Source organism: Homo sapiens, chromosome 9 (assembly GCF_000001405.40).
Source record: "Homo sapiens chromosome 9, GRCh38.p14 Primary Assembly".
NCBI lineage: Eukaryota > Metazoa > Chordata > Mammalia > Primates > Hominidae > Homo > Homo sapiens.
This window is the reverse complement of record NC_000009.12, coordinates 132,001,210-132,017,916: the sequence shown is the minus strand read 5'-3', so window position 1 is coordinate 132,017,916 and position 16,707 is coordinate 132,001,210. Positions and strand designations below refer to the sequence as shown.

The 16,707-nt window shown below is 41.3% G+C and overlaps 1 protein-coding gene across 5 annotated transcripts in view, besides 2 other annotated features; it reads left to right on the top strand.

Moving 5' to 3' along the window:
* The window catches only part of MED27 (mediator complex subunit 27), a 219,756-nt gene that overhangs the window by 61,951 nt on the left and 141,098 nt on the right, over positions 1-16,707 (top strand). For all 5 annotated transcript variants that reach the window (NM_001253881.2, NM_004269.4, XM_017015329.2 and 2 more), the window contains exon 3: positions 3,450-3,580. In NM_001253881.2, coding sequence (NP_001240810.1) covers positions 3,450-3,580 — 131 coding nt within the window. The remainder of the gene's footprint in view (positions 1-3,449; positions 3,581-16,707) is intronic.
* Positions 10,361-11,053: an enhancer, noted in NCBI's record as "OCT4-NANOG hESC enhancer chr9:134882251-134882943 (GRCh37/hg19 assembly coordinates)". NCBI's record gives its function as "activates a minimal SCP1, AML or CMV promoter by ChIP-STARR-seq in naive H9 embryonic stem cells {active_cell/tissue: H9 hESC(naive)}" and the evidence as "EXISTENCE:reporter gene assay evidence [ECO:0000049][PMID:30033119]".
* Positions 10,456-10,565: an enhancer, noted in NCBI's record as "active region_29215". NCBI's record gives its function as "activates an Ori minimal core promoter by ATAC-STARR-seq in GM12878 lymphoblastoid cells {active_cell/tissue: GM12878}" and the evidence as "EXISTENCE:reporter gene assay evidence [ECO:0000049][PMID:35858748]".

The following is a 16,707-nucleotide window of genomic DNA, read 5'->3' as shown; positions in this document are numbered from 1 at the left end:
TTCAGTAGATCAAAGTTTTCCTAATTTTAATTGGTCTTTCCTCAGACCATTATTAATTGTTAAAATTTTCTCAGGTATAGAGGTAATTAGTAGATATAATTGGTTAGAAAGGGCTTTAGGTTGAGAACTGATAGAAAAATCCTAGGTCATTCATAGAAAATAGAAAGTGGAAATTAATGGATAGTGAAATTGTAACTGAGAGAAATACTCTAAAAAATCCAGAGAACACTGCAACACGGAAATGGCTGTTCCTGTGGAGCAGTAACTTAACAGTAAATCACGAACCTTCCCCTCCAACTCAGCACATAAACACTCCCATTCCCCGCACTTGTAAGATATGAAAGTTAAAAGAATAGATCATTTCTCTCCTTCTTTCATTTTTATTCCTCCCGGTTAGTGGAGGATCTTTGATAGAAAAATCACAATAGAACTTTGATAAGTTGCTTTTTGAAATAGACTTGTTTCCATGCTGCAGACATTTGGAGAGAAGTATGTTTATTGAAATATATTTTTATAGAAAATATTACAGAACCTGTAATTGAGAACTTATGGCGGTATTTTGGGGAGTTATATGTTTCTAATGTTAATTTGTAGATTCACTCTGAACTCCCTTCTGCTGTTTTAGAACCATTGGCTGAGTGAACATTTTCCAGGAGCCTCTTCAGATCTAAACTGTGTTGCATGGAATGGAGTTTTGGTGCTTAAATAATGTATAATCCAGTTGGACAGGAGCTGCCTGTCAGTTTTATTAACTTTGACCTTTTCTCCCATTATAAAGGTGGTTCAGTAAATATTTAATGGGCCCCTTATAGATCTTGACAGTCAGAGCCGTGTTCCTGGAAACTGGGATACATATATATGATTAACAAGTGCTGCTTAATCCTTATGAGTCAGCTCTCAAGGGCAGATTTTGTTTTGGGGGAAGAAGAGTCCTTCCACCTATGTGTGCTGTTAGAGGTGCACTGTACACTGAGAGCATCCAAGATGGTTGAGGTTTCAGAGGAACCCTTTAAAAGACAGATAGCAGTTAGCGTACATTTCTGCTGTTTTGGGTTTTTGTTTGTTTGTTTGTTTGAGCAAATGATCAAAATGATGCCGGGTGGGCAAAATCACCCTGCCACTCTGCATAGTTAGCAGGCCTCCTCCACTCAAAGAGTCAGCAGGGCTGGAATGGCTGAGCTTGCATGGACCCTAGTAAATACAAAGGAGGAAAGCCAAAAGGAGAGTCGATTCCTTGAGCCAGGAGGAGGCCCCTGCCAAGCTGTCTTTCCCTGTAATTCCATAAAGCCCCATGCATATTGCACTCATTGCAAATTCTGGCAGGGAAGATCGAAACCCAAGTAGCTGACATTTTGAAACATTGTCTTTCAAACTTGTACTGTCCCTTGCCTCCATTGATTTCCCATTTAAGAAATCTGTAGGAAAAAAACAAATTTGAGGAAAATTCATTGGTCTAAGATGAGTTGTTAGAGCCAAATTATGCTCCCCCCTTTCTACCCTGAAAAGAGCTCCATCTTTATTATGAATGTGATGTATGTTTGTCTTGTATTGGGCACCTGTAAGGCTCCCACAGCAAATCGACCAAGTAAATCAAGAGCCTGTTAAAAAGCAGTACGGATGCTCCAAACACAGATACTTCTGTCATACTGGATCACTGGATAGCCTCATTTTTATAGCCACTTTCCAGGAGCAGATCATTTCAATTGGTTTTGTTGTCTTTGCTCTCTATTTGCATGCAGCCCTATGGCTTTAGGTGAGGCCATTTATTTTTCAGAACATTATTGCCCTTTGCATCCAAGGCCCAGCCCCTTTTATATGGTGGTCGCCAGTTTCATTACCGTGAGCTGTAATGCAGCTGACTCGGCAAAGAAAATCTGTGCCTTGGAAGAGCATTTTGAGAAGAAATTGATTCAGAGCTTTAGAATGAATTACTATTTGTATGTTTAGATAATTCTAAATAAATGTTTGAAAGACCTTGCTTAATCTGAGAAGAGAGGAAGAAACATATTGGATGTTATAAATGGTCTCTATCCAAGTTCTTAGCTTGGCATTTTCACATGTGAATCTTTTATTTACATCTGCTCAAAATTGGGATACCTTTCAAGGATAATTTTATTATAGCGATATTGATGACAACTCTTATGATCTAAAATACAAAAGTATAGAATTAGAAAGGGAAGCTAAAAGTTATTGTCACACGTCAAATTGGATATAAACTTCATTTAGCAAGGAGTGAGAATGATGAGTTATATTTTAAATCAGAATTTCCTGATGTTAGGTGCTAAGGGGATTGACTGCGTTAGGGCACAAATGAGCTTTCTGTAATGATGGAAAGTTGCTTTGTCTTGCTTGGGGTGGTAGTTATACAGGTATATACATTTGTCAAAACTCATTAAACTGTTCACTTTAAATGTGCATATTATATTTTACGTAAATTAGAATTCAAAGTTTTGTTTGGTTTAGAACTGGGCAGTATCATTTCTCTTTCCCAATAAGAAACTGAAGTATAGAGAAGTAAAGTTATCTATCCTAAGTCACCATGAAGCTCAGCAGTTTGTCCAGGGATCAAGTAAGGGATGCTGGCACCAGACACATTTAAAGCATGCTGCTTCCTTACCTCCATGACATTGTTCCAATTGCATGTCCATGGACTTGAAATTGGCTTCTCCATTCGATTCTTTTCAATGAGCCTATATCCATTTGTATACATTGTTGTAAGATATATTCATAAGCTTGTTCTTATGATTGATATTTGTAATTTAACCATTGAAAAGATAGCTCAGTGGTTCTGAATGCAGACTGATAGTATGTTTGAATCTGTGTATGATAAGCCATGTCGTGGTCATGGTGTACTGCGGTAGACTACAAATTCTATGGTTTTTATTATAAGCAAGATATGGTGGTAGCAAGACTTCCCAGAACTAACTTTGTCTCTAAGGAAAACCTCTGGATTTTCTTATTAAAAAATTACGTAGGCTTTAAAACCATTTACATAAAGCATATGAATAGTAGTCAAAAATAAAGAAGAAAGTAAAAATCACTCGAATTCTACTACTGAAAAATACAGTTAGCATTTTAGAGAACATTTTTTAAAGTGCCTCTCTGTTTACAATGGAACCTTTTTTCTTTTAATTCAACAAAATGGTGTTGTGAAGTTCTTTCTCTATTTTAATCAATTTCACAGTCAGTTGTTGGACATTCCGACTGCTTCCAGTTTTTCATCATGAGGTAATGCTGTGATGAACAGTCTTGTTCTTGTTTTGTTTCCTGTTTGTCTGATTATCTTTTTATGGGTAAATTCCTTGAAGCAGAATGTGAGCAGTTGTATTTGAAGTTACTTAAAATGTTCTAAGGGGATAAGATTATCAAGCATTGCTAGTTTAATACCATTTGTCCTACTTTTACCAAATGCTATTTTTCTTCCCCTTTTGTTTTGTTTTTCTCTGCAGTTGCAGTACCATGCAGGACTAGCATCTGGCCTTTTAAATCAGCAGTCATTGAAGCGTTCCGCTAATCAGATGGGAGTATCTGCCAAACGTAGACCAAAGGCTCAGCCCACAACTCTTGTCCTACCACCTCAGTGAGTGATGGATTTGAAAAATTACTTTAGTACTGGGTGAACTTTTTTACTTTATACTTGTTTTTGGGTAGTGGAAAGTTACTGTTTTCTTCAAAATTCCCTCCCTCCCTTCCTTTTTTTGAGACGGAGTCTTACTTTTTCACCCTGGCTGGAATGCAGTGGCATGATCTCGGCTCACTGCAACCTCTGCCCTCCCCCACCCCCTCGAGTTCAAGCAATTCTCGTGTCTCAGCTTCCCAAGTAGCTGGGATTACAAGCGCACACCACCATGCCCAGCTAATTTTTGTATTTTTAGTAGAGATGGGGTTTCACTGTGTTGGCTAGGCTGGTTTCGAACTCCTGACCTCAGGTGATCCACCTGCCTCGGCCTCCCAAAGTGCTGGGATTACAGGTATGAGCTACCACACCCGGCCCAGAATTATTTCTTTCTTTTAAAAAGGCATCTATTAGGATTAGAAACCAAGCATGATGGTAACATAATTTGCATAGATCTTTGTGAAACAGCTGTAATGCAGTTTATTTTACATATTTTGTATGTGACTTTTCCACCTAGGATTTTAAGAGACCTCACGGCTTATTATTTGTTTCCTTATCACATTCCCAAAGGTGGTAGAATATGAGTACAGTTGTCCTTATTTTATAAATGAGACAGCTGAGGAGCACATTTGGTTAAGCTGCAGACCACCTAGAGAACCTGCTAGAGCTGAGATTAGAATAAATGCTAGGTTCATTCGTTCACATTTAAAAATAGTAATATATGTGCTCTTCTTTTTCCCATTAGGAAGGATAACAGATACAGTAAGCTTCACAGAGCATACAGTTTAATGATTTTTTCACACTCATGTACATCCGTGTAGCCACCACTTCCAGAATCCCATAAGGGTTCCTCCTCATTGCTCTCTGTCTATACCTGTGCTGCCCTCCTTCCCAAGTTTAACACCATTCTGACTTCTTTAAACAGTTAATATTGCCTGTCTTTGAACTTCATTTAAACGGAATCATGCAGTGTCATTTTTTTGTATGAGCTTCTTTTCACTCAACATCATATGTGTTAGATTCATCCTGTTGTCCTTTTTCTGTTGCAGTGTAGTCTTCCTTTGAATATGCCACATTTGATTCATCCACTTGGTTCGTTCAACCTGTTGGGTTCTTTTGTATTAGAAGCCCTAGTAGGTGAGTGCAAAGGCTCACTCAGTGATGTGGAATGAGAAATGTGGGCACATCAGTCCATTTCCTGTCAGTGTGCACACTCCTCTGGGAGGGCCAGATGCCCGAGAAGCGTTCCTTCGCCTGTCCTGCTCACCCCTTGTACCTTCTTCTGATTACATCCTCAGTTACAAACAGCATTCTTTTCTAGTCCAAGGGAGTGTTGGCATATATGAGTTGATTGTTTACCTTTGCTCAAGGTCTCATTTGCTGTTTGGTTAGCAAATATTTATTGTACCTACTCTGTGTCAGGCATGTTTCTAGGCCCCAAGGATATAAACATGGGCAGGACAGACATTGTCCCATCTTTGTTAAGCTTTTCATTTCGGGGGTGGGAGGAGACCAAACAAGCACCCCTCAACAAATTAATAAATTAACGCCATAATTTGTAGTTATGCTTAGTGCTAGGAAGGGACTACAGAGTGGGGTAAGGTATGGGAGTGGGGGATACTGTTAAATAGGGTGATCAAAGAGGGCTTCTCTGAGGAGCCAATATGAGGCAGAGACTTGACGAATGAGGAGGAGAAAGACCAGTGAAGAGCCGGGGGGATCCCAAGGGGTGACTGCTCTGGGGATCCTTTCTCTAGCTGGTGGACGTTCTTATGCCACCACTTCCATGATTTTCAGGCTTTCTTCACAGTTCACACTTGCTTCCAGGATAGGAGGAATGTAACCAGCCAGCCTCGACAAGTAGCTTGTGTCTGTTGCTTGCATGCACAGGGGCCATATTTTTCAAAAAGAAGGTCACTACAGGGACAGCTGCTTTTAGTGATGCAAGCCAGAGTTTTGACTATTTGGCAGAATGCTTCTTAAGGGCCATTATTCTATCTGTTGTTTCTCATGTGTCGATTTGGTGATTCTGCAAATCTCAACTTTCAGCTCTCTAAAGTCTAATGGGCCTTGTAACTTGTCATTTTCCCTGCATGGATTGTCTACTGAGGCAAGATGTTTGGCGAGAAGTAAAAGACTTTCTAATGGTCCCATAAGACTGGAGCCAAAAAGTATTTGTTGCTAACTCTCTCTTGACAAAAGTCAGTTCTTAGTCCATCTGTTCACCATTTGTTAATTTGCATTGGCTTGAAACCTGTTTACAGGTGACATGCTATTGTGAGGACACTTAGAAACTATTTTAGGCATTAGGGCAATCAACAGACTGTTCTCATGCCAAAAAAAAAAAAAAAGAGCGAGAGGTGTTCACAACTGTCATTATAAATTTATAATAAATCACTCAAAATAGTTTCAAAGAGAAAAGTGGTTACTGTGTCCTAAGAATACAACATAGAAATGATTTCCTATACTTAGTAGCCTATTTCCTGTGAAAATTGACTGCTGCCTTTTCACATCATTGAGCTTTTTGGGCTTACATTATCCTGGAATCCCTTTATAGAACTACTGTCCAGTAGGCAGAAGCTATATCTAAAAGACATCAATTGCCTCCCCAACTCCCCTTTTTGTTTCTTTTTAGAGGCATGTTTTTCCTCTGTCACCCAGGCTGGAGTGCAGTGGTATGATCACAGCTTACTGCAGCCTCAAACTCCTGAGCTCAAATGATCCTCTCACCTTGACCTTTGAAAGTGCTGGGATTATAGATGTGAGCCACTGCGTCCCGCCCCATTGCACTTCCACTGAGCACCTACTATGTGCCACTCATTATGTTTGATGTTGGCTAGAAATGCAACATGGCTGCCTGTCTAAAAAGTTTTGTTTTTCTTTTTTAAGCTAGGAAATAGAACAATAATAGTATATACATAATGTAGATTTTGAAAAGGTAACAAAAACATTAAAAAATAATGTTTTTGTTATCTGAAAAAGTTATTAAGATTAGGATGGATATTGTTCTAGACTTTTTCTGTGCATATGTCATATATAGTTTTTAAAAGCAATAGTTTTTTTAAAGCAATAAATAGGTTTTAAAAGCAAAATAATCTCCAAAAAGGAGTATATTATAGTATTGTTCTATTTCATATCTCAACCTTTTATTGAATATAGTTGTGACATTTAAGGGAGCATAATTTGATCTATGGACTATTCAAATTTGCATATCAATATCCATCTTTTGGTTGTATTCTATAGAAGACTCCTTATTACAAAATTTTTTTATTATACTTTAAGTTCTAGGGTACATGTGCACAACCTGCAGGTTTGTTACATATGTATACATGTGCCATGTTGGTGTGCTGCACCCATTAACTCGTCATTTACATTAGGTATATCTCCTAATGCTATCCCTCCCCCCTTCGCCCACCCCACAACAGGACCCGGTGTGTGATGTTCCCCCTCCTGTGTCCAAGTGTTCTCATTGTTCAATTCCCACTTACGAGTGACAACATGTGGTGTTTGGTTTTTTGTCCTTCTGATAGTTTGCTGAGAATGATGGTTTCCAGCTTCATCCATGTCCCTACAAAGGACATGAACTCATCATTTTTTATGGCTGCATAGTATTCCGTGGTGTATATGTGCCACATTTTCTTAATCCAGTCTATCATTGATGGACATTTAGGTTGGTTCCAAGTCTTTGCTATTGTGAATAGTGCCACAATAAACATATGTTTGCATGTGTCTTTATAGCAGCATGACTTATAATCCTTTGGGTATATACCCAGCAATGGGATGGCTGGGTCAAATGGTATTTCTAGTTCTAGATCCCTGAGGAATCACCACGCTGTCTTCCACAATGGTTGAACTAGTTTACAGTCCCACCAACAGTGTAAAAGTGTTCCTATTTCTCCACATCCTCTCCAGCACCTGTTGTTTCCTGACTTTTTAATGATTGCCATTCTAACTGGTGTGAGATGGTATGTCATTGTGGTTTTGATTTGCATTTCTCTGATGGCCAGTGATGATGAGCATTTTTTCATGTGTCTGTTGGCTGCGTAAATGTCTTCTTTTGAGAAGTGTCTGTTCATATCCTTCACCCACTTAAATGTTAGACCTAAAACCATAAAAACCCTAGAAGAAAACCTAGGCAATACCATTCAGGACATAGGCATGGGCAAGGACTTCATGTCTAAAACACCAGAAGCAATGGCAACAAAGCCAAAATTGACAAATGGGATCTAATTAAACTAAAGAGCTTCTGCACAGCAAAAGAAACTACCATCAGAGTGAACAGGCAACCTACAGAATGGGAGAAAATTTTTGCAATCTACTCATCTGACAAAGGGCTAATATCCAGAATCTACAAAGAACTCAAACAAATTTACAAGAAAAAACAACCCCATCAACAAAATTTTTATTATAAGCACAACATAACTATAAACTAACTTTTTGTCATTAAGAAAATCCTTTCAACCCCCTTATAAAACACCGAAATCCTCCAAGGTTGCTATGTTAATTATCTATTGCTTCATAACAGATTGCTCTAAAACTTAGTGCTTTAACAGCCATGAACATTATCTCTCACAGTTTCTGTGGATTAGGAATCCAGGAGTGGCTCGTTTGGGTGGTTCTGGCTCAGAGCCTCTTGTAAGGCTGCAGTCACCTGAGGTTTGGCTGGGATTAGGAGCTCCACTTGCAAGGTGGCTCACTCACATGGCAGGCAAGTTGGTGCTGGCCGTTGGCAGGAGATCTCGGTTCCTCTCCACCTAGGCCTCTCCGCAGGCTGCTTGAATATCCTCATGACATGGCTTCTGGCTCCTCCAGAGCCAGCAATCTAGGAGAATGAGAGCCAGGCAGCAGCCATCCTTTTTATGACCTAATCTCAGAAGACACACAGCGTCAGTTCTACCCCATTCTGTTCATTTGCAATGAGTCACGAAGTTTGACTGGCATGCAAGGGGAGGGGATGAGGCTCTCCCTTTTGAAGAAAGACGTGTCAAAGAATTTGTGGACATATTTATTTTAAAACCATCACATCGCACACAGGAACAATGGCTGAGCCTGTAAACCCCATTCACTTATTTATTCAGTAAATATTTACTCAGGGCCTACAAATGCTTGGTTCTATGCACTGTGCTGGGGATTCGGAGATGAATAAGATATAATCTTGGTTTTTGGGAAGTTCTGAGTAGAGATAGGAGCAAACAAGGAGCAGAGCATCATAGCAACATGGACCAAGTTGACTGACATGACCTTCTTCCAGTGCCTGAGAAGGCCACGGGCAGAGTGGGGAGGGAGGTCCACTTGGGGAAGCCCAGCCGCCCTTCACCAGATTTATCTGCTGCTGGCTGTGAAGGATGGGGGCCTTATTTCATTGAGAATGCTAGATGCTTTCTTGCATAGGCTTACAGGATTCTAAGGAAAGGTTTTGTTTTTAAACGGTGGAGGAAAGCAGTGAAGGGCTAGCGTCTGGGTTCCTCACACACCTTTCTCTGCAACCCTGTGCGTATTAGTGCAGTGATGGGTAGGTTTCTGCGTGGCTTGTGTTAGCAGTTGGATGGCACTAAGGCTGCTACAGCAAAACTACTAGTTCTGCCCAACTGTGCAGAGAGCACAGGCGTGGCAGGAATGCAGGAGCTGTGTACGATGTGTTTGTTTTTAAAATGCAGGGCTCTAACGGTAGTCTCTGAAGACTCAGATTCCTCCCTGAGCTCCCATAGGATGAGTGATTCATGGGATTAATGATTCATATCTTTCTCCCCCTCCAAAGAAGCTTGATAGAAGATAAAGATCTTGTTCATGATGAAAGATATTTTATCACTTGTTAGCGTTCAGAGGGCACTGATGAAGTGACCTCACTTCTAGGATTTCCAAATGCTCAAATTAAGGTTTTTGCACAAGGGGTGCTATCGTTTCCGTAAAGAGGCTGAGAGGCTGTGTCCACTGTTGCTGTGCAAACATTGTTGGGCTTCTGAGCCTCATAGGATTGGGATCAGCCTGGAGAGTGGCTATATCTTATTTAATTGATCTATGAGTTATATATTGAGATATCTATGTATTTATTGAGAGATGTAGCTGTGTTTACCTGTGTTCTATCTTAGATAGCAGCCTCGATTTTCTAATGCAGTGTTGTGTGCTTTTGTGTTAACATGGAATATTGCTTTCAATCAGTATGGCCAGGCTGAATGGCCTAGCACTCCTCTGAGTTTCAACAACTTGGCCTGATGAAATGCCAGCTTTCAGTAACAGCAGAGGTGACTGTGTTCATATCCAGCAAACCGAGATCTTATTTAGGTTTGAGGGAAAACAAATAGTTTTTCAGAAAGCTTACATTGAAAACTATTACCTCCATGCCCTGGAAGTTGTGGGGACAGGCAGTTTCTCTTGCATTATATTATCTTCCATGAAAAGATTCTGTCTGCTTGATTAAGGGCATACTTGTTTCCCGGGCTTTGTTCTCTGTGGTCCCTGGGGGTGAGCTATTCGTGCTCCAAGCTAAGAACAGCCCATCTACTTGCTGATGGATCCCTCTCACCTACTCCTGGCCTTGTCTCCATTGGTCTCCTTTTTCCGTCCTACACCATAATTATTTCCCTTTTCTCCTGATCATTCTCATTCATAGACAAAACATGCTTACCCTGAAAACTGTCTCCTGTAAGAACACACATCCATGACTGCATTCTGCCTCCCAGCTCCCACCTCGTGTCTCTCCTCTTTATAGCAAAACTCCTCCAAAGGGTGGATTATACTTGTCTCCAATTTCTCTCCCACCCCAGGCAACTACTGTTCTGATATCTATACTTATACCTTAGCTTTGCCTCTTCTGGAACTTCTGTATAAGTGGAGTCATGCAGAACATAATATTTTCCTTCTGATTTCTTCTACTCAACATGTTTTTGAGATTCCTTTATGTTGCATGTATCAGCGGTTGGTTCCATTTTATTGCTGAATAGTATTTTTTCGATGTTCTTTGGAGCTTACTGGTGCCATTTCCTCAGCGTTTGCATTTGTTTCAGTATCTTGTAATACTTTCAAGAGAGAGAGAGTCCTCACTTTGCGTTTCGATTCTTGGATGACTTGCCTCTCAGGTTTGAGTAACAATAAGACCACAAAAACAGCATGCAGTGACAAGTGTTGCTGGAAGGAAGTGCCACCCATTCAGGAGGTAACAGGGATAATGACACAGCACTCACACCTAGGGCTTCCAGTGTTTGAACAACAGATTGCCTTTGGTACGGCCACTGATTTGGCTCTGGGAGTTTAACTGAAAGAGGCTCATTTTCTGCCACCGCCTTGCACATTAATTCCCAAGAAGATCATTGACTTGAAATTACACATGGTGCTTATCCAGATGATTGGATCCTTTCCAAGATGTGTGGTAGATGCTGTTTCTGTTCTTGAAAGTCAGAGGCTCATGTTGTTTTTTGCTTGATGTAAAACCAGTGGGAATCACAGAGAGCAAAGCAGCAACTTGAATCCGTCTTTGGCAATAGTGATGCATGAAGGGGGGGTGATCGTCATTGCTGTTTAAACTGAGCAAGGCAAACACTTGCCAGGATGAAGCTCATTAAACAAGTCTCTTCTCGTAGCTTCCTGGCCATTATATCATTATCTCTTCTGTTGCTCATTTTGAGACCTTTTTTAAGGTTGTTGTTTTTTTTTTTCCTCTGCCATACAGGTATAAAACTCCAGGTTTCTGCAGTTCGATTACAAAAACCTGGCTATAGACACCATTTACATAGTGACTGTGAGCATGTGTCCTTGCAGGGACTTGATTTTCTTCTTGATTACCTGGGGTTTGTTTTGTTCCTGGACTCTTGGTATTTTGTTGAGGGCAGAATTTGGTTATATGCTGATTCATTTATGTTAAATTCTTCAACTTTGAAGGGACAGGAACCTTGAACAAGAATATCTGGCATCTCTTTTTATTGGAGTTGAATTTAGTTTGCCTCTGAGCAAAGTAACAGTGAATAAACCATGAATGTGATACAAACTGGTTCATTGCCACAAGCCTTGGAAATGCAGAGCGTTTCCTCAGTCTCCTTTTCCAGGGACACTGTACAAAGGGAGCAGGCTGGCTCACCCTGAGCTTGGGCTGGTGGGCAGAGATGTCGCCCGGCTTAATGTCCCACAAAGGAAACAGAGAACTTTGCAGCTGTAAGTTTCCTGCGTTTTGGAAAAAGTCATCAAAACTTGGGTAGAAATTTGCTAAGTCATTCTTTCCCCTACTGGCAAGTATTAAGTAACAGTATTCATGAAATACCACAGAGAGGCTATGTAATAAAGAAATAATCCTAGGCCTAGGTGGCGATAACTCTCTAGAAGAGTTGAAATTGAGAATATAATTAAAGATTAAAACATTGTTTGCATTCTAGAACATGGAGAAATCTTTTCTCTCCATTGCGGGACCATATTAATAAGGAGGAGATCAGTTTCCAATAACTGACACTACCTAAGCTCGTTTATTAATATCAGTCATGTTTAAGCTGTCTGACTGAGACAGCTGCTTTTGCCTTTTTCCTGCAAGACCGGAGCTGTCTCCAGGAATGGTGAGGGATACCACTCTTATCCCAGATATTTATCCGTATCAATTCCATGTCCCGAGTGTGAATAGGAATGTTTTAGACAGCAAGGGTTACCCGTATTGGGATCTTAGATGGAAAATTATTCAGTTGCCAAAAGAGAGGGATACAATGAATTTCAAGATTTAAGATCCCAATTTCGGCCAGTTTTTTTGCAAAAGTTAAAAGATTGGTAGGAACTAGGATACCTGCCAAAGTTTTATAATTGTGGCTCATGAACGGTCAGGAGCACTATAGACATTACCAGGCCACCTTGACACGGTGACAGAAAGAAACCCTTCGTGGTCAAATACCTGGCATTCAGAGCTCCTTGAAGCCAGCGTACACTCTCAGACTCACACAGGAACAGAGAAAGGCCTTGCCTGGTTGGATTGTAAACATTTAACGGCCCAAGCACTGTTTCTTTCTCCTTCTGCTTTTTTGTTCCATTTGCCTTGAAGTAGACTCAGAAGGCATTTTGAGGCCAAGGGTATGGGATCATCTTCCTTATGTGTGCCATCTCCAGTGTCGCCTTGTCCTCATTGCTCTTTAGAGTTTCTCATCTGAGGCGTCAGAGAAGTCACACCCAGTAATAGTTGCTGAAATGTCCGTTTTTATGTATTTATTTTATGTACTCCTGTTATTGGCAGGTAGAAGAGGAAAGTGTCTCTCTCAGTCTGTCTTTGATGAGGGAAGGAAAAATGTGATTCAGTGATTGGGCAGAAAGAAACCTTCAGCTTCTTACTCCTATAAGGTTTCAGTTTTGTCTCTTCCAGGGCAGTTGCCACTTTGTGCCCCATGTTGTGAGACTTCAACTCCTTGAGGACTGGCGCTGCCTGTGTCTCTTTTACGGCCTAGTCTTGACTGTGCACTGTTGGTTGAATGAATGAGTCCTGAAGGCTCGTTCCTCTGTGTGCTGCTCACCTGGCTGATGAGGCTCAAAACATCCTTTCACAGCATGTTCTGGACGTGCGTTCCTACTGCCCGTGGCTCTTAGTGGATTGGAAGTGTAAGTGTTGGGTATTTGAATGGCCGGGAACCAGGTGGAATTTGGACAGACAGAAATGCCTATGGGTAGGGCTCTGTAGCTGCAGGTCTGTCCCCAGTGGCAGTGGCAACCCTTCCTGCAGAGTGAGGATGGATAGGGTTGGATCTAGAGGTACTGGCAGCGAGCAGGGCCCCAGAGCCAGGCAGAGGTCTTGCAGTGCGCTGCTACAGGGAGAGCAGGCCCCCGGGGCTTGTGAGCAGGGGCTGATATGTGGAAAGTGGTATATTAGGAAGATTAATCAAGTAGCAGAATGCAGATAAATAAGATAGTCCTTTGTAACTGTTTAAAAGATAATTGGTTCATGTTACTTATCTTTTATCCCCTCTCTTTGGGCAAGAGAAAAATCTCTGGGAGAAATAAACGAGGAATCCCTCATAAATATTAATGCAAAAATCTGTCTATGGAGAATAAATATAGGGACATTTTGTTTTAAATGCTCTCTGTCGTTATGCTTCATTAGCATATATGTTGTAAAAGTTACTTTTCTCCCCTTGAGAGAACCGTACTCAGTTCAATAAGCCACAGACTGAAATCTGTAGCCTGTCAGGGACGGAACACTTTAGGCGGACAGGAGAACTGATTCGCTCCCCTGCTGCGTCCCGGGGGGTTTCCTCGGTTCCCTCATCTTTAGAAGCACTGGCCTGTGGCAGAAAGCTAGGAGGAAGTCCTGGTGGGGGAGAGAGAGAAGAGAGAGACAGAGTGAGGAGAGAATTTCTGTGTATGTGTGTGTGTGTATGTTCACTCTGAAAGCCTTTATGTACTTTCCACAGGCCAGATGTATGTTTGACCACACCGGGAATCTAAAGGTGCAGAAAGTACTACTGCATTTAAACAGAAAATTAATGGGTTTCATTTGAAGCATGTCAAGTTTGAGGTACCCTTAAACCTTGGGTGAAATGATTTGATGAACCAGATTCACTTTAAAATACTCCAATCCCCCCTTCCCAAAAGTACTGGGTGGTGGGGTGTGAAAGAGGAGTATGGAGAAATAGTTGCTAATTGGTTAAAACTGCATGATGAGAGCGGGATACTGTTCATGAGCACAGGGAGGGTAGAAGTCTCAGAGTGGATATGTTGTGCCAGCAATTGTGGAGGGAGACCAGAAGAGCAGGCAGAGGAGTTGGTGACAGAGCCCTGCCACCCCATCCCACCTATCCCTGCCTCCCCGTCTAGCCTTGCTCTAGCCAACCCTTCAGGCCCAACTGTCACGTGCCCCTTGTGGCCCTTAGTGTCTGGTTCTGATCCTGGCCTCACTCTCAGCTAACCTGACCTGGGTTTGTCTCAGACCCATCGTGACATAGACTAAAATTTAAAACCCAGTGTCTTCCGTAGATACTGAGTCAAAGAGAAATTGCATAAAATAGAAAACTGTAATAAAGAACCTGGCCATTAAGCACTAAGTTGAATGTGGCAGCCTGCAGAAGCAGTCTGAAAATTATATTTCATTGCATCCTCTAATTGCATTTCTCCTTTACAAGGTGATTTTATCCAGGAAGACAGCTGTCTGGTGTGGTTATTACATCACTGGCCATTATTGGGCAAAGGAAGAAAAGAAATGGGTGGTTGTGTAGTACAGCTCATCACATAGAAGCTGGATCCATTTTTTTTTTTAAATCTCTCTTTGCATAACAAAGAGCTTCAGGATTGTTAATACTTCACACCATGCTGTCCCCCAACTAATGCTGGTTGTAAGTGAAACTCTTTTGTTTCAGATCTTTCTGTTCTTTCTTGGAATGGAAAGTAATTTTAATGGTTTCTTTTCTTTTTCTTTTTTCTTTTTTTTTTGAGACAGAGTCTCACTCACTCTGTACCCCAGGCTGGGGTGCAGTGGCGTGATCTTGGCTCACTGCAACCTCCACCTCTCAGGTTCAAACGGTTCTGCTGTGTCACCCTCTGGAGTAGCTGGGATTACAGGCGTGCACCACCGCACCAGGACAATTTTTTTGTTATTTTTAGTAGAGACGGGGTTTCACCATGTTGGTTGGGCTGCTCTTGAACTCCTGACCTCAAGTGATCCGCTTGCCTCAGCCTCCCAAAGGGCTGGGATTATAGGCGAGAGCCACTGTGCCCAGCCAATTTTGATGGTTTCTTGATGCTTTTTTCTTTCTGTCTCTGTGCCATATAGATTTCGGCCCAGAAAGCAAGTCCCTGGTTAGGGTTATAAGTCATCAAGAAGCAGTAAGCCAGTTTCTCTTTCACCTGTGTTGAAGATTGCACCAGCTCTCACAGGTACAGTGACCTCAGTAACATGAGAATAGGCATGCATGGGAAGTGGGTTTGTCTCCTAGCTTGAGTCTTTTAGGGCAGAACAGATTTTATCCTAGTTGTACCAGTCACTCTGAGAGTACTCGTTTAAAATAGATACACAGGAATTCTTAATAATAACATGAAAAACCTGTTTTCAGTGCAGATTATACTTATTTCTAGCTTGCGGAGACATTAAATCTCTAATTTTGGTTAGTGTGGAAAGAACTGGACATTCTTTGTGTTTGGAGGCAGTGGTGAGGGGGATGGGTACTAAAGGTGTTTCTAAACCTCAGTTACGCTCTGAGCTCAGGGCCTGCTGGCCCTTAGGAGGAGTGGTCAGGGCCAGTCCTCACTTTAGGGACATCTGACAGCTGAATAGTAGTAGTAGACTATAATGGGCTGCCAATTAAAGGGACTAGCCAGCTGATGCAGGGCCACAGCTTTGCTCTGCAGGTAAGGGGGACTTTGGAACAACAGTGACTCCCAGCCCTAGCTACACATTAGAATCTTACGGGGAGTTGTTTCAGGGAAGAGGCCCAGTCATCCATATTTTTAAGCAGCTCCCAGGATGATTCCTGCATGCAGCTGAGACTCAGAACCACTGCTCCAGAAGGGGTACGAGGATTGCTCCAGCGATGGAGGCTCTGGGCCAAGAGTTGTCAGAGCATCTATACCGTAAGGGAAATGAGCATTGTGGGGGGAATGTTGGCAGAGCTGACTTGCTCAAGGCCACAGATGGGAACCTGCTGGAATTTAGAACTTAGAAGAAGGTGGATCCTAACTTTGTTGCTGCCTCATCAGCTCTGGAATGTATCTGGTATCATCAATGCCAATCATTTTCCTGACCTCTTTTAGCTTATTATGCTCAGATCCACAGAAAAGGATAGGCTGGTGATTTTTTTGTTTTTTTTCTTTTGAATATATTATTTCATTTTATAATAGTGGTTTGATCCCTCTAGTTAAATTGGTATCTATGACTAAGCATAATGCATTGTCATTTATGTAAATCAGAAGTATACAGTTTAATTTATTGTGATCTGATGTGTATTGTTTTTTCCTTTATAGCTGTATTTTTTCAGGTTTATTTGAGGCTACAAAAATATAATCAATTATACCTGTTTAAAGTATATAAATTGTGACACATGTATATACCTCTGAAACTATCACCTTACTCAAACATAATCAAGACAATGAACATATTTCTTACCCTGAAGGTTTTCTCATGCCCTTTTATCATTCCTTTCACC